At 43.3% G+C, this 20,864-nt stretch overlaps 1 protein-coding gene across 1 annotated transcript in view; it reads right to left on the bottom strand.

Annotated features, from left to right (window-relative positions):
- Window positions 1-18,956, bottom strand: part of NBPF19 (NBPF member 19) — an 81,317-nt gene extending 62,361 nt beyond the window's left edge. The window contains exons 1-17 of the mRNA NM_001351365.2: window positions 18,206-18,956; window positions 17,894-18,103; window positions 15,954-16,056; window positions 14,907-15,121; window positions 13,787-13,859; window positions 13,117-13,322; window positions 11,775-11,826; window positions 7,708-7,871; window positions 6,618-6,669; window positions 5,816-5,988; window positions 5,045-5,096; window positions 4,268-4,440; window positions 3,507-3,558; window positions 2,690-2,862; window positions 1,867-1,975; window positions 1,061-1,233; window positions 290-341 (exon numbers count right to left, since the gene is read on the bottom strand). Coding sequence (NP_001338294.1) covers window positions 290-341; window positions 1,061-1,233; window positions 1,867-1,975; window positions 2,690-2,862; window positions 3,507-3,558; window positions 4,268-4,440; window positions 5,045-5,096; window positions 5,816-5,988; window positions 6,618-6,669; window positions 7,708-7,871; window positions 11,775-11,826; window positions 13,117-13,322; window positions 13,787-13,859; window positions 14,907-15,121; window positions 15,954-16,056; window positions 17,894-18,068 — 1,997 coding nt within the window. The 5' untranslated portion in view covers window positions 18,069-18,103; window positions 18,206-18,956. The remainder of the gene's footprint in view (window positions 1-289; window positions 342-1,060; window positions 1,234-1,866; window positions 1,976-2,689; window positions 2,863-3,506; window positions 3,559-4,267; window positions 4,441-5,044; window positions 5,097-5,815; window positions 5,989-6,617; window positions 6,670-7,707; window positions 7,872-11,774; window positions 11,827-13,116; window positions 13,323-13,786; window positions 13,860-14,906; window positions 15,122-15,953; window positions 16,057-17,893; window positions 18,104-18,205) is intronic.
- Window positions 18,957-20,864: the final 1,908 nt, after the last annotated feature.

The following is a 20,864-nucleotide window of genomic DNA, read 5'->3' as shown; positions in this document are numbered from 1 at the left end:
GTGATCATGAAAAGAGTGGGCTCAATAATTTTCCATAAACTTGCTCAAGATTCCATGCAGTTGCCATACAGCCTTTGAGGTATGGTCAACCTATAGTAAGTTAGTAAATGATAAGGGGAGGAAGAAATGGAAACCTAAACATCTACTGCAATGAAAACCAACAGCCATGTCAGTAGGAGTAATTCAACCTTCGTTGAAAACATGAAATTGAACACACTCTTGTTTTCCCTGGACCTGGCATCTCCAGGTGTCAACACAGAATTAAGCATCCATAATTGCTCAAAGTTACCTGGGGCATGATGGGTCTTGGTCTTCTTCCACTTCTTGGTACTTTTCAATTTCTGCAATAAGTTCAGACATGGACAGACATATGAAGCTGGTTCTCCTACACACATAACAATCCACTGTCTAATCCTCACACAGAGACTTCAGGCTCCTCAGCATGAGAATAGGACACTGTGAGAGATATTCTTCAGGAGGCCTGAAGGCTGATCACCATAGAGATTCCTTGGTTTTTGTCCCAGAAACTGTGGGTAAAATTCCCTATTCTGGTAGATCGTTATCCCAATATCATTTGTCCCAAGTTTGTGCAAATGGTTATGCCATATTTTTCCAATCGATTTAAAGCAAATACCCCCAAATGGTTGCTAGGAGAAAAACTGCACTATTCAGCCCTGTCTCATCAAATACTCAGATTGTTCATGGTAGCGAGGATTTTAGACGCTGAAATTAGAGTGAAGGATGAAATCTACAAGATCTACAAAATTGAGACAAAATCAGAGTTGTGTGAATTTGTCACATCTGCCCAGGTCCAATGTCATGAGAGTAGGATTAGGGCGCCACAGGCATGGCCTGAGACTAGGAAGAGAGCCTTGCTCACTGACCCATCCCTTGTCTGGGCTGCCAAGTGGAACTAGAGTTTCATTCAACCTACATGTGCCTATAGGTCCTCCCTGTGGCAATGACATCTCTCAGCTCAGTAAGGGCCACTTGCAGTAGGAATATGACCCTAACCAGAAGACTCAGTGGATCCTTATCACCTTCATAGAAAGGTACTCACCATCCATGTCAACAGCCAAGCCAACACACTGTTGCTCCAATATGTAAAAGGCACTTCTGTAGGGCTGGCATGAGTCAGTCAGTTCAAGACAACCTGAAGGAGTTGAATAACATCTATCCAGTGAGTCCTGCAAGACTTCAGGCCCTTTCTCATCCAGCAGCTCCCTGCTGAGCCTGGAAAAGTGGGAAAAAGTAAAGAATAAGCCAGGGGGAATCAGAAACCGCACAGCCCCAGCTAGATTTCATGGCTAACGTTAAGGAAGAGTTTGAAAAGAAAAAGGACAGATCCATTAATGAGGTAACAAATTACTGCCTTTATGTTGGGATAGAACAGGGCCAGGTAGAAAACAATGAAAGAGAAAGACAGAGAGAGAGAGAGAGAGAGACAGAGACAGAGAGAGAGACAGAGACAGAGACAGAGAGAAAGTGACCTAGTGAATTGGCCAGGTGACATACTGGTAAGGGAGTAAAAGGACACTCTGAGTTAGTGCCCTCATGACACACAGCAAACTGTGATCATGAAAAGAGTGAGCTCAATAGTTTTCCATAAAATATGCTCAAAATTCGATGCAGTGGCCATGAGAGTACAGCTTTTGAAGTATGGTCAACCTATGGTACGTTAGGAAATGATAAGGGGAGGAAGAAATGGAAACCTAAACATCTACTGCAATGAAAACCAACAGCAATGACAGTAGGAGTAATTCAGCCTTCGTTGAAAACATGACATCAAACACGCTCTGGTTTCCCTGAATCTGTTGCCTCCAGGTGTTAACACAGAATTAAGCATCCACAATTGCTGAAAGTCACCTGGGGCATGGTGGGTTTTGATCTTCTTCCCCTTCTTTTCTTCCCCTTCTTCTTTCCTTCTTTGATCTTCTTCCCCTTCTTTTCTTCCCCTTCCCCTTCTTTTCAATTTCTGCAATAAATTCAGACATGGACAGACACATTAAGCTGATTCCCCTACACACATAACAATCCACTGTCTAATCCTCACACAGGGACCTCAGGCTCCTCAGCATAAGAATAGGACACTGTGAGAGATATATTTCAGGAGGCCTGAAGGCTGGTCATGATAGAAATTCCTCGGTTTTTCTCCCAGAAACTGTGGGTAAAATGTCCCTATTCTAGTAGATCGTTATCCCAATATCATTTGTCCCAAGTTTGTGCAAACAGTTATGCCATATTTTTCCAATCAATTTAAAGCAAATACCCTCAAATGATTTCTAGGAGAAAAACTGCAATATTTAGCCCTGTCTCATCAAATACTCAGATTGTTCATGGTTGTGAGGACTTTAGACACTGAAATTAGAGTGAAAAAGGAAATCTACAAACCCTTGAGTCAAAATCATAGTTCTCTGAATTTGTCACATCTGCCCAGGTCCAATGTCATGAGAATAGGATCAGGGCGCCACAGGTATGGCCTGAGACTAGGAAGAGAGTCTTGCTCACTGACCCATCCCTTGTCTGGGCTTCCAGGTAGAACTAGAGTTTCATTCAACCTACATGTGCCTATAGGTCCTCACTGCGGCAACGACATCTCTCAGCTCAGTAATGGCCACTTGGAGCAGGAATATGATCTTTATATGGAAGACTCAGTGGATGCTTATCACCTTCATAGAAAGGTACTCACCTCCCACGTCAAGAGAAAAGCCAACATGTTTTTCCTCCAATGCATAAAAGGAACTTCCATAGGGCTGGCAGGAGTCAGGCTGTTCAAGACAACTGGAAGGAGTTGAATAACATCTATCCAGTGAGTCCTGCAAGACTTCAGGCTCTACTACCTCCACCAGCTCCCTGCTGAGCCTGGAAAAGGAGGAAAAAGTAAAGAATAAGCCAGGGGAAATCACACACAACAGAGCCCCAACTAGGTTTCATGGGTAGCATAGGGAAGTGGTTAAGAAAGTAAAAGGATAGATCCATTAATGAGGTAACAAATTATTGCCTTCATGTTGGGACAGAACAGGGCCAAATGGAAAAGAATGAAAGAGACAGATGGACACACACACACACACACACACACGCACACACACACACACACACACAGAGAGAGAGAGAGAGAACGAGCTCAGTGAATTGTCCAGGTGACACACTGATGAGGGAGTAACAGGACACTCTGAGTTAGTGCCCTCAGGACACACAGCATACAGTGATCATGAAAAGACTGTGCTCAATAATTTTCCATAAAATGTGCTCAAGTTTCCATGCAGTCGCCATGAGAATACAGTTTTTGAAGTCTGGTCCACCTACAGTAGGTTAGTAAATGATAAGGGGAGGAAGAAATGGAAACCTAAATATCTACTGCAATGAAAACCAACAGCAATGTTAGTAGGAATAATTCAGGCTTGCTTGAAAAGATGTAATCGATAATGTCAGCCCGCTCTGTTTTCCCTGAACCAGGAGTCTCCAGATGTCAACACAGAAGTAGCTGTTCACAATTGCTCAGTTACCTGGGGCATGGTGGGTCTTGGTCTTCTTCCTCTTCTTGGTCCTTTTTAATTCCTGCAATACATTCAGACAGGGACAGACAAAATAAGCCAATTCACCTACACCCATAACAGTCCACTGTCTAATCCCCACACAGGGATCTCAGGCTCCTCAGCATGAGAACAGGACAATGTGAGAGATATACTTCAGGAGGCCTGAAAGCTGGTCATGATATTCTTTGGTTTGCATCTCAGAACCAAGGGTGAAATATCCCCATTCTGGTAGATCGTTATCCCAAAATCACTTATCCCAAGTTTGTGCAAACAGTTATGCCTTATTGTTCCCATCAGTTCAAAGAAAATGCCCCAGATGATTTCTAGGAGGAAAACTGCAGTATTCAGCCCTGTCTCATCAAATGCCCAGCTCGTTCATGGATGCAAGAATTTTAGACACTGAAATTAGAATGAAGGAGGAAATCTACAAACCCTTGAGTCCAAATCATAGTTCTGTGAATTTTTTGCATCTGCCTGGGTCCAATGTGCTGAGAGCGGGCTCAGGTTGCCACAGGCATGGCTGGAGACTAGGAATAGAGCCTTGCTCACTGACCCATTTCATGTCTAGGCTTCCAACTGAGACTACAGTTTCATTACAACCTATATGCGCCCATAGGTCCTGCCTGCGGCAATGACATCTCTCGGGTCAGTAAGGGCCACTTGGAACAGGAATATCACCCCTATCTGGAAGACCAGGTGGAGGCTTATCACCTTCATAGTAAGGTACTCACTGTCCACGTCAAGAGCCAAGCCAAGGTACTGTTCCTCCAATGAGTAAACAGCACTGCTGTAGGGCTGGCCTAAGTCAGGCAGTTCAAGATAACCTGAAGGAATCGAATAACATCTATCCAGTGAGTCCTGCAAGACTTCAGGCTCTTTCTCATCCAGCAGCTCCCTGCTGAGCCTGGAAAAGTAGGAAAAAGTAAAGAATAAGCCAGGGGGAATCAGAAACCACACAGCCCCAGCTAGATTTCATGGCTAACATAAGGAACTGTTTAAAAAGAAAAAGGACAGATCCATTAATGAGGTAATGAATTATTGCCTTTATGTTGGGATAGACCAGGGCCAGGTAGAGAAGAATGAAAGAGAAAGACAGGGAGAGGGAGAGAGAGAGAGAGAGAGAGAGGAGAAAGTGAGCTCAGCGAGTTGGCCGGGTGACACACTGATGAAGGGGTCAAAGGACACTCTGAGTTAGTGCCCTCGGGACACACAGCGAACAGTGATCATGAAAAGAGTGGGCTCAATAATTTTCCATAAACTTGCTCAAGATTCCATGCAGTTGCCATACAGCCTTTGAGGTATGGTCAACCTATAGTAAGTTAGTAAATGATAAGGGGAGGAAGAAATGGAAACCTAAACATCTACTGCAATGAAAACCAACAGCCATGTCAGTAGGAGTAATTCAACCTTCGTTGAAAACATGAAATTGAACACACTCTTGTTTTCCCTGGACCTGGCATCTCCAGGTGTCAACACAGAATTAAGCATCCATAATTGCTCAAAGTTACCTGGGGCATGATGGGTCTTGGTCTTCTTCCACTTCTTGGTACTTTTCAATTTCTGCAATAAGTTCAGACATGGACAGACATATGAAGCTGGTTCTCCTACACACATAACAATCCACTGTCTAATCCTCACACAGAGACTTCAGGCTCCTCAGCATGAGAATAGGACACTGTGAGAGATATTCTTCAGGAGGCCTGAAGGCTGATCACCATAGAGATTCCTTGGTTTTTGTCCCAGAAACTGTGGGTAAAATTCCCTATTCTGGTAGATCGTTATCCCAATATCATTTGTCCCAAGTTTGTGCAAATGGTTATGCCATATTTTTCCAATCGATTTAAAGCAAATACCCCCAAATGGTTGCTAGGAGAAAAACTGCACTATTCAGCCCTGTCTCATCAAATACTCAGATTGTTCATGGTAGCGAGGATTTTAGACGCTGAAATTAGAGTGAAGGATGAAATCTACAAGATCTACAAAATTGAGACAAAATCAGAGTTGTGTGAATTTGTCACATCTGCCCAGGTCCAACGTCATGAGAGTAGGATTAGGGCGCCACAGGTATGGCCTGAGACTAGGAAGAGAGCCTTGCTCACTGAACCATCCCTTGTCTGGGCTGCCAAGTGGAACTAGAGTTTCATTCAACCTACATGTGCCTATAGGTCCTCCCTGTGGCAATGACATCTCTCAGCTCAGTAAGGGCCACTTGCAGTAGGAATATGACCCTAACCAGAAGACTCAGTGGATCCTTATCACCTTCATAGAAAGGTACTCACCATCCATGTCAATAGCCAAGCCAACACGCTGTTGCTCCAATACGTAAAAGGCACTTCTGTAGGGCTGGCATGAGTCAGTCAGTTCAAGACAACCTGAAGGAGTTGAATAACATCTATCCAGTGAGTCCTGCAAGACTTCAGGCCCTTTCTCATCCAGCAGCTCCCTGCTGAGCCTGGAAAAGTGGGAAAAAGTAAAGAATAAGCCAGGGGGAATCAGAAACCACACAGCCCCAGCTAGATTTCATGGCTAACATAAGGAAGAGTTTGAAAAGAAAAAGGAGAGATCCATTAGTGAGGTAACAAATTATTGCCTTTATGTTGGGATAGACTAGGGCCAGGTAGAAAAGGATGAACGAGAAAGACACACACACACACACACACACACACACACACACACACACACACACACAGAGCGAGCTCAGTCAATTGGTCAGGTGACACACTGATGAGGGAGTCAAAGGACACTCTGTATTTGTGCTCTCAGGACACACAGTGAACAGTGATCATGAAAAGCATGTCCTCAATAATTTTGCATAAAATGTGCTCAAGTTTCCCTGCAGTTACCATGAGAATACAGCTTTTGAGGTATGGTCAACTTTCACTAGGTTAGTAAATGATAAGGGTAGGAAGAAATGGAAACCTAAACATTTACTCTAATGAGAACAAAAAAGCAATGTATTAGGCATAATTCAGACTTGTCTGACAAGACAAAATCATTATTTTCAGCATGTACTGTTTTCCCTGGACTTGGCATCTCCAGGTGTCAACATCAAATTAACTGTCCACAATTTCTCAGACTCACCTGGGACCTGTTGCCTCTTGGTCCTCCTTTTTCACTTGATCCCAGCGATGTCCTGCAAATAAATTCAGATGGGCCCTCTTACATTAAGTTCTTCCTTGCACACAGAAACATTCCTCTGTCCAATCCTAACACAGGGACATCAGTCTTGTCAGTGTGAGAACAGGAGACTTTGAGAGAAATATTGCAGTAGGCCTGAGGTCAAGTCTTGAGAAAACTGGCTTGGGTTCTTTCATGAGCCTTGGGCAAAATTCCCCTGTGTTGGAATGTTATCTTCCCTATGTGCTCTGTCCTAGGTTTATGTACACAAATGAGCAATTTTTCCCCAATAAATTGTAGGCAAATAGTTCTAACACCTCATAGGAGAGATACTTCAATATTAAGCTTTCTCTCATCAAATACCCAGAATTTGATAGTTTATGAGATTGTGGACACAGAGATTTGATGAAGGGGTGCAATGTACCAGCTCTTGAGTCAAAATGAAACTTGGTTCTACACAGAAGCATCAGCTATTATGGCTTTTGTGGGTGAAAAGTCAGCCATTTATCTAGAAAACATACCAGGAACATGACGGACAGATGAGCTAAAACAAGCGAACTTAGAAGACACAGAAAATGGGAATAAACTCAGTGAAACCTGGGTCACATCTTTCACTGAGAGGTAGACAAGGGTGACACTGGCCTTGGGCAGGTAAAGAACCACACAGACATGCTTTGGGAACAAAACTCATAAGGAATTTTGTAGCTGGCAAAAGACATTTAATTCAGATGAGCTGATCTGACAGACAACTCCTGGGCATGTGCTACATAGTTTGGTGTGAGTTTGCCACACCTGCCTTGAGTTCAATGTCGTGACAGTCAGTCCAGGTTGGCACAGGCATGGCCTGAGACTAGGAAGAGAGTAAAGCTCACTGACCCACCCCATGCCTGTGCTTCAGACTTGACTCCAGAGTGACTGAAATCTACATTGATATATAGGTTCAGCCCACGGTGATGGCAAATCTCAGCCCAACAAGGGGCACAAGGCCCAAAGATTATGGGGTCTACCTGGGCCATGAACTGGAGCTTTATCACCTTCACAATGGAGTACTCACTGCCTATGTCAACAGCCATGCAGACTTGCTGTTCCTCTAATGAGTGAAATGTGCTGCTGTAAGACTGGTACGAGGCCAACATTTCAGGAGGAATTGAGAGAGTCGAATAACCTTCATCCCAGGACTCCTGGGGGACTTCCTCCTCTTCAGACTCCTGCAGATTCCTGATGAGCCAGGCAGGACAGGGATGATAGAAGATTTAACCAACAGACATTAGACAACAAAACCTCCCAGATGATCTGATGGGAGACAGAATGGAGTGGTCACAGAAACCAAAGGCATTTTTCCTTCAAGAGAAATAAAACTATCCTTCTAAATACAGGGTGGAGGGTGACTGCTCTGGGGACAGAGCAAAAATGGGCAGCATGTGCTCAGTACATTTGCCACAGATGAGCCAACTCAGGGCACCCGGACTCTCCCTGTAAACTACCATCATGACTTGCAGCACAGAGAACTGACACAGGGCTTCAACTACTTTGCATAAATTGGGTTGAATTTTACATGCAGCATTCAAGTGAAGAGAGTTCTTGACGCAGTGCAGACACAGATCTTGTGTATTAAGGGCCCCATTTTCCCAATATTTTGATATAATATATTTACTTTTTCAATTTCTTTTCTTGCAAAAATACTAGCCAACATACTACCAACAAATAGGAAGAAAGCATATATACACCTCTCCCTGGATTTAAACACATGGGAGAGAATAGGCAACACCAAGAAATCCCTGTTTGAGGGTCTGGAGTGGACTTCCAGCAAACTCCAACAGACCTGAAGCTGAGGGACCTGACTGTTAGAAGGAAAACTAACACACAGAAAGGAATAGCATCAACATCAACAAAAAAGACATCCACCCCAAAACCCCATCTGTAGGTCGCCATCATCAAAGACCAAGGGTAGATAAAACCACAAAGGTGGGGAGAAACCAGAGCACAAAAGCTGAAAATTCCAAAAACCTGACATCCCTTCTCCTCCAAAGGATCGCAGCTCCTCGCCAGCAATGGAACAAAGCAGGATGGAGAATGACTTTGATGAGATGACAGAAGTAGGCTTCAGAAAGTCGGTAATAACAAACTTCTCTGAGCTAAAGGAGGATGTGCGAACTCATCGCAAGGAAGCTAAAAACCTTGAAAAAAGATTAGACGAATGGCTAACCAGAATGAACAGTGTAGAGAAGACCTTAAATGAGCTGATGGAGCTGAAAACCATGGCACGAGAACTACGTGATGCATGCACAAGCTTCAGTAGCCAATTCGATCAAGTGCAAGAAACGGTATCAGTGATTCAAGATCAAATTAGTGAAATGAAGCGAGAAGAGAAGTTTAGAGAAAAAAGAGTAAAAAGAAATGAACAAGCCTCCAATAAATATGGGACTATGTGGAAAGACCAAATCTACGTTTGATTGGTGTACTGAAAGTGACGGGGAGAATGGAACCAAGCTGGGAAACATTCTTCAGGATATTATCCAGGAGGACTTCCCCAACCTAGCAAGGAAGGCCAACATTCAAATTCAGGAAACACAGAGAACACCATAAAGATACTCCTCGAGAAGAGCAACCCCAAAACACGTAATTGTCAGATTCACCAAGGTTGAAATGAAGGAAAAAATGCTAAGGGCAGCCAGAGAGAAAGGTTGGATTACCCACAAAGGGAAACCCATCAGACTAGCAGCAGATCTCTTGGCACAAACCCTACAAGCCAGAAGAGAGTGGGAGCAATATTCAACATTCTTTTTTTTTTCCATATGTATAGTTTTCCTTTATTATTTTTTGTGTGTATGTATATATATATATATTTTTTTTAATACTTTAAGTCTTAGGGTACATGTGCACAACGTGCAGGTTAGTTACATATGTATACATGTCCACATTGGCGTGCTTCACCCATTAACTCATCATTTAGCATTAGGTATATCTCCTAATGCTACCCCTCCTCCCTCCCCCCACCCTACAACAGGCCCCAGTGTGTGATGTTCCCCTTTCTGTGTCCATGTGTTCTCATTGTTCAATTCCCACCTGTGAGTAAGAACATGCGGTATTTGGTTTTTTGTCCTTGCAATAGTTTGCTGAGAATGATGGTTTCCAGCTTCATCCATGCCCCTACAAAGGACATGAACTCATCATTTTTTATAGCTGCATAGTATTCCATGGTGTATATGTGCCACATTTTCTTAATCCAGTCTATCATTGCTGGATATTTGGCTTGGTTCCAAGTCTTTGCTATTGTGAATAGTGCCGCAATAAACATATGTGTGCATGTGTCTTTACAGCAGCATGATTTATAATCCTTTGGGTATACACCCAGTAATGGGATGGCTGGGTCAAATGGTATTTCTAGTTCTAGATCCCTGAGGAATTGCCACACTGCCTTCCACAATCGTTGAACTAGTTTACAGTCCCACCAACAGTGTAAAAGTGTTCCTATTTCTCCACATCCTCTCCAGCACCTTCAACATTCTTAAAGAAAAGAATTTTCAACCAAGAATTTCATATCCAGCCAAACAAAGCTTCATAAGTGAAGGAGAAATAAATCCTTTACAGAGAAGCAAATGCTGAGAGATTTTGTCACCACCAGGCCTGCCTTACAAGAGCTCCTAAAGGAAGCACTAAACATGGAAAGGAACAACCGGTACCAGCCACTGCAAAAACATGCCAAACTGTAAAGACCATTGACGCTAGGAAGAAACTGCATCAACTAACGGAAGAAATAACCAGCTAACATCATAACGACAGGATCAAATTCACACATAACAATATTAACCTTAAATGTAAATGGGCTAAATGCCCCAGTTAAAAAACACAGAATGGCAAATTGGATAAAGAGTCAAGACCCATCAGTGTGCTGTACTCAGGAAACCCATCTCACATGCAGAGACACACATAGGCTCAAAATAAAGGGATGGAGGAAGATCTACCAAGCAAATGGAAAACAAAAAAAGGCAGGTGTTGCAATCCTAGTCTCTGATAAAACAGACTTTAAACCAACAAAGATCAAAAGAGACAAAGAAGGCCACTACATAATGGTAAAGGGATCAATTCAACAAGAAGAGTTAACTATCCTAAATATATATGCACCCTATACAGGAGCACCCAGATTCATAAAGCAAGTCCTGAGAGACCTACAAAGAGATTTAGACTCCACACAATCATCATGGGAGACTTTAACACCCCACTGTCAATATTAGACAGATCAATGAGACAGAAGCTTAACAAGGATATCCAGGACTTGAACTCAGCTCTCCACCAAGCCGACCTAAAAGACATCTACAGAACTCTCCACCCCAAATCAACAGAATATACATTCTTCTCAGCACCACATCACACTTATTCCAAAATTGACCACATAGTTGGAGGTAAAGCACTCGTCAGCAAATGTAAAAGAATGGAAATCACAACAAACTGTCAGACCACAGTGCAATCAAATTAGAACTCAGGATTAAGAAACTCACTCAAAACCACACAACTACATGGAAACTGAACAACCTGCTCCTGAATGACTACTGGGAAAATAACAAAATGAAGGCAGAAATAAAGATGTTCTTTGAAACCAATGAGAACAAAGACACAACATACCAGAATCTCTGGGACACATTTAAAGCAATGTGTAGAGGGAAAATTATAGCACTAAATGCCCACAAGAGAAAGCAGAAAAGATCTAAAATGGACACCCTAACATCACAATTAAAATAACTAGAGAAGCAAAGCAAACAAATTCAAAAGCTAGCAGAAGACAAGAAGTAACTAAGATCAGAGCAGAACTCAAGGAGATAGAGACACAAAAAACCCTTCAAAAAATCAATGAATCCAGGGCTGGTTTTTTGAAAAGATCAACAAGAAAACCCTGTTTGGCTAGTTCACCTGGCTCATCTGATGGCAAGTTCCTATCTTGAGAGGACTATGAAATTAAAACCAATACAAGTGCCACAAATAACATACAACATTGTAAATCAGCACAATTTGTAGCTGGGTGAATGGAAGAAATAGTTCTATTCATCACTTCCTCATTTTCCCTAAATCTACAATCTCCAGATGTCACTACTGAATTAACAGCCAACAATTCCACAACATTACCTGGGAGACACTGGCCCTTTTTCTTCCTCTTCCTCATCATCACTTTCATTTTCTGTAAATAAATTCAGAGAAGCAGGTCACATTAAGCAATTCATACTTCACATATGAACAAATCACTGTCCAGTCATAGCACAAGGACATAACTATTCTCAGTGCAAGAATAAGGATTCTGACAGGAATATTCTAGGGTGTCCTAGATTAACTTTGGTGAGAATTAGATGACCCTGCTTTCCAGACCCACAGGCCAAAATCTCCCTCTACGTGTAGACCATAATGCCATATTCCCTGCCTGAGTCAAAGTTAAACAAAATTTTTTCCCCAAAAAAATCTCCAAAAATTGGTCAAACAATTTTCTAAGAGTGTTGCTGCGATACGGACTTATATCACCAGGTAACATGGACATTAAATGTTTAGAGGCATCTATACATGAAACACGACTGATAGATAAATTTTAACAACTCTTGCTTTAAAAAGAATCTGTGATTTGGGAGGCCAAGACAGGTGAATCATTTGAGGTCATGAGTTCAGGACTACCCTGGCCAATATGGGGAAACCCTGTCTCTACTAAAAATACAAAAATTAGCCAGATGTGATGTTGTGCACCTGTGGTCCCAGCAACTCAGGAGGCTGAGGCAGGAGAATCACTTGAATCTGGGAGGCAGAGGTTGCACCAAGCCAAGATGGTGCCACTGCACTCCAGCCTGGGTGACAGAGCAAGACTCCATTGCAAAAAAAAAAAAAAAAAAAAAAAAATCCACGATGCTACAAAGAAACATTGGATCAGCCATTGCATTGACAGGGTGGAGAACCAGGGTCCAGCCTTGCTTTATGGAAATATATCAGCAAAGTAAAGAAGAAAAGTTTCCGTCCTGATTTCAGGGTGACTGTGCAGCTAAGCAAGCTGACTTAAAGGAGATCCAGATGAAAGCTGAGAGCAGTGAAGCCTGGGGAACAATATTTCCAAATACAAAGGCAAGGCTGCCAGCTTCCTTAAACAGGCATAGAAACTCCATGGACATTGTTCAGGGACAGATGACTTAATCACAGATGACAAGAGATACTGAATCGAAGATAGGAGGCCTGACAGATACTGCCTGTGCACCTCCTGCACTCAGGTGACTATGAGATTGTCACACTTGCCTGGGGTTGAGTAACTTGATACTGGGGACTGGCAGACAAAGTCATGACATTAGCTGAGAAGGACAAAAAAACTCCCTGATATCTGTTTAGAAACCCATCACAGTTTTTTATTCAAATGAATTTGTGTTTATAGAGCCTGTCTTCAGAGTTTATCTTTCTCAGCCTAGAGAGAGGTATGAGACACAAGGAAAACAGAGGCTACCTGGAATAATGTGTACAGCATCCTCCCATTCAACATGAGAGGATGAGCCAATGAGAGTTGAGTCGACTTTGTCTTCCTCAAATGTGATTTTGGTTTTCCTATGTGGCTGGTTGGAGTCATAAGGGCCATGGCTATTTGAATAAGTGATGGCACATTCCTCCAGTGAGTCCTCAGGGACTTCCTTTTCTTCAGCCTTCTGCATCTCCCTGATGAGCCAGGTGGGACAGAGATGACAGAAGATTAAACACAGAGGGATTGGACCCCAGGGAGTCCTAGCTGGTTTTGACAGGCGGCATTAAGAGAGTGGTCCCAGAAAGCAAAATGGAGGTTCCCATTAAGAGGGAACATGCAATCCTGTTCTCTCTGCAACAGAGCATGGCTGCCATGGGAACCAGAGAGGAAGAGAGCAGCTGCTGTTCATTGCACTGGACAGATAGGAGCTGAGGAGGATGAAGACTCAGCTATCCCTGTAAGGTGCAGACATGACACTCAGCACACATAGAGAAACATGACAGCTACCGCACCCTGTGTCTAAGCTGGATTATATTTCACATACTGTGGCCAAGCGAATGCGGGTTTTTGGCCCATCATAGATGCCAGAGAGGGTGTGCCTCCTAGATATTCCTCATATGTTACCATCCATTAATTGTTCCTGAGTATTCAGTGTTACCTGGGGGCAGACGATTTCTGCACTTTCTCAGCCACCTCAACTTGAACATCTTCATCGTCATCGTTGTCATTTTCTGTAAATACAGAAGTGTTCGTTCAGATATTTCCCACTTCACAGTCTGCAAGCACAGTCAGCCCAATGTGCAACAGAGACATGAACATCTAGGCATGGGTCACCGTTCAACTGAAAACTCTCATGTTTTATCTTTAACAGAATGCCCTGCCATGGTTTCCTGATCCATCAGGCAATGCATTTCTGATCTGGAGGGCCACCATCAAGATGTGGCCAAATATTGAAAAGACCTTTTGCTTCCCATATCACTGGAGGCTTGTGCAGCCTCTCTCTGGACGTTGGCAGCTGTCTCCCCCATCCTGCCAGATCTGATTCCCAGGCACAGGCTTGGTGTCCTGTCACGGTTTGCATTTCAAACCTCATTCTTTCTCTTAGGAGAGGACAAACTTGTCCCACAGTCCTCTATGCGTCATGAGACTGCACAGGCCCTCCATGTGGCTTCTGCTGTGTTATTCAGGGACATTCTATCCATGGGGAGTGCTCCAGTCTGAAGCACTTCCTACCACCAAATGCCCCCACATCAAGTGCCTTCTCCAACACCACATGGAGAGGGGCTTCATCTCATTTTGAAAAGCATTCGTAAGTGTTCCCATATTTGGATGCTTCAGACCCTTGCAAGAGACAATTTGTCTGCCTTTGCAGATGGAGAGAGAGAAACTCTGAAAAGATAAATCACTCACTGACACTTACTAAGAACACTGCCAAAAATACAGCCTGGGAACCTTCATTCTTAGCCCAGAGCTCTTTTCACTCCAACAAGCGCCCTTCCATCACAGCCTCCTTCCTGTCCTTTAAAACTAGATAGATGCTGCCTCTTGCTCCAAAGACCACCTTCCATCAAGGAAGGAGGGACACTTGCAATACTGTGACCTCCAAACCCATGGGTTTCCCATCTCTGTTCTTACCCAGGAAGTCCTGATCATGTCATGGCCACATAGGTGTAGTAGAAAAAAACCCCACTGATATAACTGTCATTGTGAAAGTATGGAGGTCTGGAGCCTCTCATAAGCCTGGGGTTTTGGGTCATCAGGGCCTATGGCCACCTTACCTGGGCTGAGCTTTTGGACAAGGTGCTGTGCCAGTCTACACCCCTCAGCCAGCTGTTCTTGGAGGTCCTGCCCCTGGGACTTGTCCGGCTCATCCGGAGTGAGGAGGGCCTGGAGATGCTCATTCAATGAGCGGGAGGCATCTCTCCCTTCCCGTAACTTCTCCCTTAACTGGGTCAGCTCTCGTTCCTGAGAGTGAAACAGGACTTTATATTGCCTAAGGTGAGACGGTAGAGAAAATTTAAGAGTAGAAAGGGTTGAGTGATCCGTTCAAATATTGCAACAGAGACTTCTGAGACAATGTCCTCAAGGAGACCTCCAAGCAGAAGGTCAGCACATGTTGAAAGGAATGACTGTGGCCAAGAGGAAGAATAGAAAATGGTCTACAGGCTTTCCCTCTATCAGAGAGGGCTCCTGCAAGATCCTCGATGATGTTCCATTCATCTTTCTCTTCTGTAAACAAAAGTAGGTGTCTTCCTAATTCCGTTTCAAAAAGACATCCTTTCAGTTCCTCACTCTGGCCATGGACATTTCCATGTGAAAATACACATAGTGCATCTTGCGGCCACTAAATACAAAGCCATGTACAGAAATGAGGCCAGGTGCAGATGGGGCGAATTGAAAAGATGAAAGAAGAAAAGAAGGACAGGGTCAAGAAGGCAACATTGATTGAGTGAAAGAATGAGAAGACGCAGTCAGTCAGGAGGTGATTCTCACTAAGGGTAAGTGGGGTGGTGATAGCACACCATTTTGATTATACTGAATGCTGCTGGGTGGTTCCCACTCCTTTGGTGAATTTTGTGTTATGTAAATTTCACCTCAACAATTACTTGTTTGAAAAAGAGAAAACAAGGCTCTAAGAAACAACTGCAACACAGAACTTATTATTATCCTTGTTCACTGATAAATATTTGTGTGTCATGAGCCTGTCATGGCAATTTCTGCCCTTCCCCTGGCCCAGCTTCGTTCTTATTTCTCCCCGCCGAGCTGCTGTACTTCAGAGATCTACACACCTACCCGCCTGCCCTCCCCCCACGGGGTCCCCTCACCTGAGCTCCTCAGCTTGCTTCAGCTGCTCTGCAAGCTTCTCCTCCTTGAACTGTCGCTCATTCCTCAGCATAAATTTTATGAGGTCTTTACACTCTTCATACTCTGAGAAAAGACAGACACGCCTGCCTCAGTGGAAGGCTGGACATGCTGCTGTGGTCACTGCCTACAGGGCAGGAGCCAGGTCCATCCCAAGGACAAAACTCTCCCCAGTACCAGGGTCTAGACAGGGATTTCCACATCTTTATTCTTCAGTCTCCTGACTTTCTGGCATCTGATCCTCCAAAATTTAAAGACGAAGAAAGAGAAACTCAAGGGCGCATCAAGGAAGTTGACAAGATGATTCAACCACAACGAAGTGGAGTCAGAACTCACAGCCCCTGAGGTCTGACTCTGAATGCGGGGCCACTTTCCCAAGTCTTGCAGCCTCTCCTCTAAAACACTGCACTGGGGCATGAAGTAGTGATTTCTTGTACAGTCGGGAAGGCCCCTAGGACTATGGGACTGATGGTTTCCCTTTTACTGGGTATTTCAAGGACAAATATGTCAAGGACTTTAAAAATATTTCATTTTTAAATCAATATTCAGATATGGTTTTAAGAATCATATCTGAAGCATAAAGTGTGAGATATAAGACAATAAGGCCATGAAGGAAATATGCCCAAATACTTTATTAGTATGAGAGGCAGCATTAAGATTTAGATTAGTTGTGTTAATTTAGAAACAGCATTAGTTTGTGTTAATTTAGAAACATCAGAATGAAGAACTAATAGATAGTGTTTCCACTGTGCCAATTAATGTTCAAGGAGATTGACAGGAAATACCTCATGTAATTCATTGCAGCAATTTACAGAGGTAGGTATTATTGTAGTACCCTCTGAACAGATGAGGAAACTGAGGGACAGACAAGACAAGCAACTTGGATGGAGCCCAGGAGACAGGCTGAGGGTCCCTGCTTTGCACACTGCACTGCTGCTTCCACACATTCTCCGGTGTGATCTTTCCTCTTTAGGAACAAGAGCCTGTGCACCAGGAAGCAGGACTTCACTCTCACCAAGGTACTCTCTGCTTTTTATTTTTATTTTTGATTTATTTATCTTTTTGTTTGTTTGTTTTTTGACGAGTCTTGCCCCGTCACCCATGCTGGAGTGCAATAGTGCAATCTTGGCTCACTGCAACATCTGCCTGCTGGGTTCAAAGGATTCTTCTGCCTCAGCCTCCCGATTAGTGGTGATTACAGTTGCCCGCCACGATGCCCATCTACTTTTTGTATTTTTAGTGGAGATGGGGTTTCTCCATGTTGCCCAGGCTAGTCTCAAACTGCTGACCTCGTGCTCTGCCCGCCTCAGCCTCCCAAAGTGCTGAGATTATAGGAGTGAGCCACGTTGCACGGCCCCTACTCCCTGCTCTTGATGCTGTCACTTATAGATAGCACAGGTTCTATTAGGAGCAGACTCCCCTTGAAGCCCCTCAGAGCAGGTACTGGCTACTATCACCAAGTTCCCCTCAGAGTCACTAGAACAGAGCTTTGCCTGTTGGGCCTCAACAGAAACTTGAACTGAATAAAAGTTCACTAGTCCTAGACATTTAGAACAACAGACTAGATGTTATTTGTCTGCAGGATCTTATATGGTACAGAGAGGATTCTTAAAAACATGATTGAGCCCCTTGGAGAAAACAGGTCATTCTGTGCCTGTGTTAGAAATCAATAACTGTGAGTTTAACTCTAGTTCCACCCCCATCTGATTGCAAACATGGAAAGTTGCTAAATACTTTGGCACCTCTGTCTTCCAACTTTAACAAAATGTTAAAATACCCATTTCTGTTTTCCTAGAAGTACAGGAAGGATGAAATTATTTTTGATGGAGAGAGCATTTAGTGTCTCAGAGAGAAGACAGGATATCATTCATCACTTTCATGATGGTGAGCCTATAGATCTTACTGTATTTCTTCTGTCGGTTGGCCAGGAAGCCGGCCAGTTGAGTTAGAAAACATTTCTCTTTGAGGTTTCTGAACTGCTGTTTCTTCTCTGCCAGCTGGGGGCGCAATGTCTCGTTGATTTCTAGAATGTTCATCTCTGCCTTCTCACTGGACCAAGGGCCGGCTGATACCACCATGCTGACGTTTGTGGCAGAAGAGGTGGAGTCAGGGACTGGGGAGAAGAAACCCAAACATATGATGGGTTAAAAACTGGTGAAATCAAATCGGTTTAATCAGGACTGAGGGATGTCAGTAACTGAAATTCTTAACTTACTGTTGTGAAAAATGTGATCACTCCCCACAGCACTTTAGGATCCTTCACCACAAAAACAAGGTTCGAGGTGCCTCAACTCAGAGCTGAAAGCACTGCCAGTAGCTCAGACTCTGATAAGAGTGAGGCAGAATGTGGCCAGCGTGCCAGGTAACCGTCTGCAGTTGCAATAACAGAATTAGAAGGTGGGGGTGTCATGGAATCTTAGGAGCTCTGCATTCCAATTGCCCAGGCTTTGCTGAAACACAGGCACCCTACTTTCACCTGAGGGTCACCACCAATGGGGATCATTCCTTCAGCATTCACTCTCAGTATTCGTGTACCCTTGTGACAATGCCACAGACCCATGTCTTTCCCAATACATCTAAGCATATTCCTCACTGTTTATCTCTTGTCTGTACAACATCATCAAGGCAGAAACAGTTTCCCAACAGGTTATATTTTCTTAATGGTAGTCATGAAGTCACCCCACCTGCTCTCAGTTAAAACAGAGCTTAAGGCTTTTCCACAGGTGTAAGATATCAAACTTTTAGCCTGCCCTGATATCCTCTGGGTCTTCTGCAGTTTTTTCTGTATCCACTAGAAAGTGAATGAATAATTCATTTTTTTAAAATATTTTCTTTCCTGTCTCAGTATTCTTGCTGCTGCATCCCATTGTTAGATTGATTTCCTCTTTCTTACTGGGGCACCTTCTTGGGTTTTCATTACATTCTAGACCAGTTTGACATCCCTACGTCCAAAGCTCTTCCTCTATGTGGGTTGATTTGTTTTTTAATGTCACTGAGCACTACATTTTATACTTGTCACTTATAGATGTCATTCTAGTGCCACAAGACCTCTTTTCAAGGTATCAAGTGATCAAAGTCATTTATATAGAGGTCTCCTGAAAACATGTGTGACCATCTATCTTGGGAAGTTTTGTAAACCTGATGCTATTTTGTTGTTTCCATTTTGTTTTCCCATATACTGAAAAGAACAGGGCCACGAGCAGTTCTTATGGAATATGGTTTGATATATATTTTGTTGAGATGACCTAACACCATTGATTTTGGGTTGCATTCCACTAACAGAACATGGCAAGATCAAGGTTATGGTCAGGGTTGGTTGGCGATCCTCAGTGTTGCTGTGCAGTAGAAGGTGAGTTTGAGGTGAGAGGAACAAGTAGGAAAGAGTGATCCCCTGAACCACCTCTTCGCTTTCTCAGCTTTCATCCCCACCTAGGTTTTGTGAGCCTGGAACTTGAGAGACTGTTCTGTAGCCCAGGTCTCCTAAGATTGGCTGCTGGACTTGCCTGAGTTGAGGGTGCAGTGGGTTGACCCTGGGCTGCCCAGCATTCATGTGGAAGTGAAGGAAGGAGGACTGGTTAATCCCATTTGAAAGCATCCCTCTCTGCAGCCCGCACCATCTTCCAGTGACACTGTAAGGATACTGCTTTGAGATGTATCAAAGGCTTTAAGTCAATGTATTTTCTAGGGTCTGGGAGACCTGACATTCTGTGTCAGAATGAAAATCTGTCAAGTTTCTAAATGAAAAAACTGCAGGTTCACAAAGTGTCATGGGTTACTTGAGGTCACAAAGGGATGAGTTTTCAGCACTGCCAATAAAAGCAATCACAATAATTATTCAGTAATTATTCATAGGATCCATACAATCCAGTAAATATTCACATATTTAGTAATTATTCATTGACCAATTCGTACAAGGCATTTTGCTCAAAACTGTGTTTATATTTGGACATTGTATCTTCATCATAATCCTTAAGGTAATGCTATTATCTATAAGTAACAGATAAGAAACCTGAAGATGAGGGACAGCTAATCACGTATTTGGCCATATTTCCATTTTTTGGTTTTTGTGATGCTGGAAGAATGACCAGAATGGGTCACGGGAAGAGTATTCATTCCTGTATTATTTTCCAGGACAGAGGTGTGCCCTTCTAGAGTACTGGGACCAAAATTCAGAAGTGTCTGAAACCTTGCTTTAACAGTATGGGAAATAACCTCTATCACCTGGAATTTCCCTGGAACTTTGGAATATACAAGAGAAGTATGAGACGTGGGTCTTCCCTTGGCTGTGTTTAATTCACTCTTCTATGGAATACCAATGATTCTCACTAAGACTTTTGCCTTTTTATAACCACAATGTATGTCTTATGGAGAAGATTGTACACTTTGCTCTATTTAGAAAGAATAAATATGAGCAATAGTTTTAGGTTTTATGCCCTGGACTTCATATTTTTCTGATTTCTGTTTTGAGATTAAATTCTCATGTAAATAGAAAAATACTTATTATTTCTCATCAGGCCAAGTTTGTTATCAGCTTGAGTTTTTGAAGATGAAGCACAAACTTTTGATTTTATCTTTGTCCTCATCAGCGCCACTCATTGTCTCTCAGTATGACCTGGACTTGCCCCTGCATTTACCCTCATCCTGCTGAGCCATCTCCATGCACTGCCCAATTCCATCAGTGATTCGGGGTCCTCCCAAGGCTCCCTGAAATGTGCACAGGGATCAGGACGTCAGACACATTCCAGACACAAAGGCAACCCACACTGTAGAGTGAGCAGCTGTGTTCCCACTTCCCTAATGTTCCAGTGATGTCCTCAAACTGAAGGGAACACTTTCCCTTTTTAAGGGTCTGTTCTTCATGTCTCAATGCCTCT

This window comes from Homo sapiens, chromosome 1, assembly GCF_000001405.40.
Source record: "Homo sapiens chromosome 1, GRCh38.p14 Primary Assembly".
In the NCBI taxonomy this organism is placed as follows: domain Eukaryota; kingdom Metazoa; phylum Chordata; class Mammalia; order Primates; family Hominidae; genus Homo; species Homo sapiens.
The sequence above is the reverse complement of the archived record's forward strand: the minus strand, read 5'-3'. Positions and strand labels throughout refer to the sequence as shown.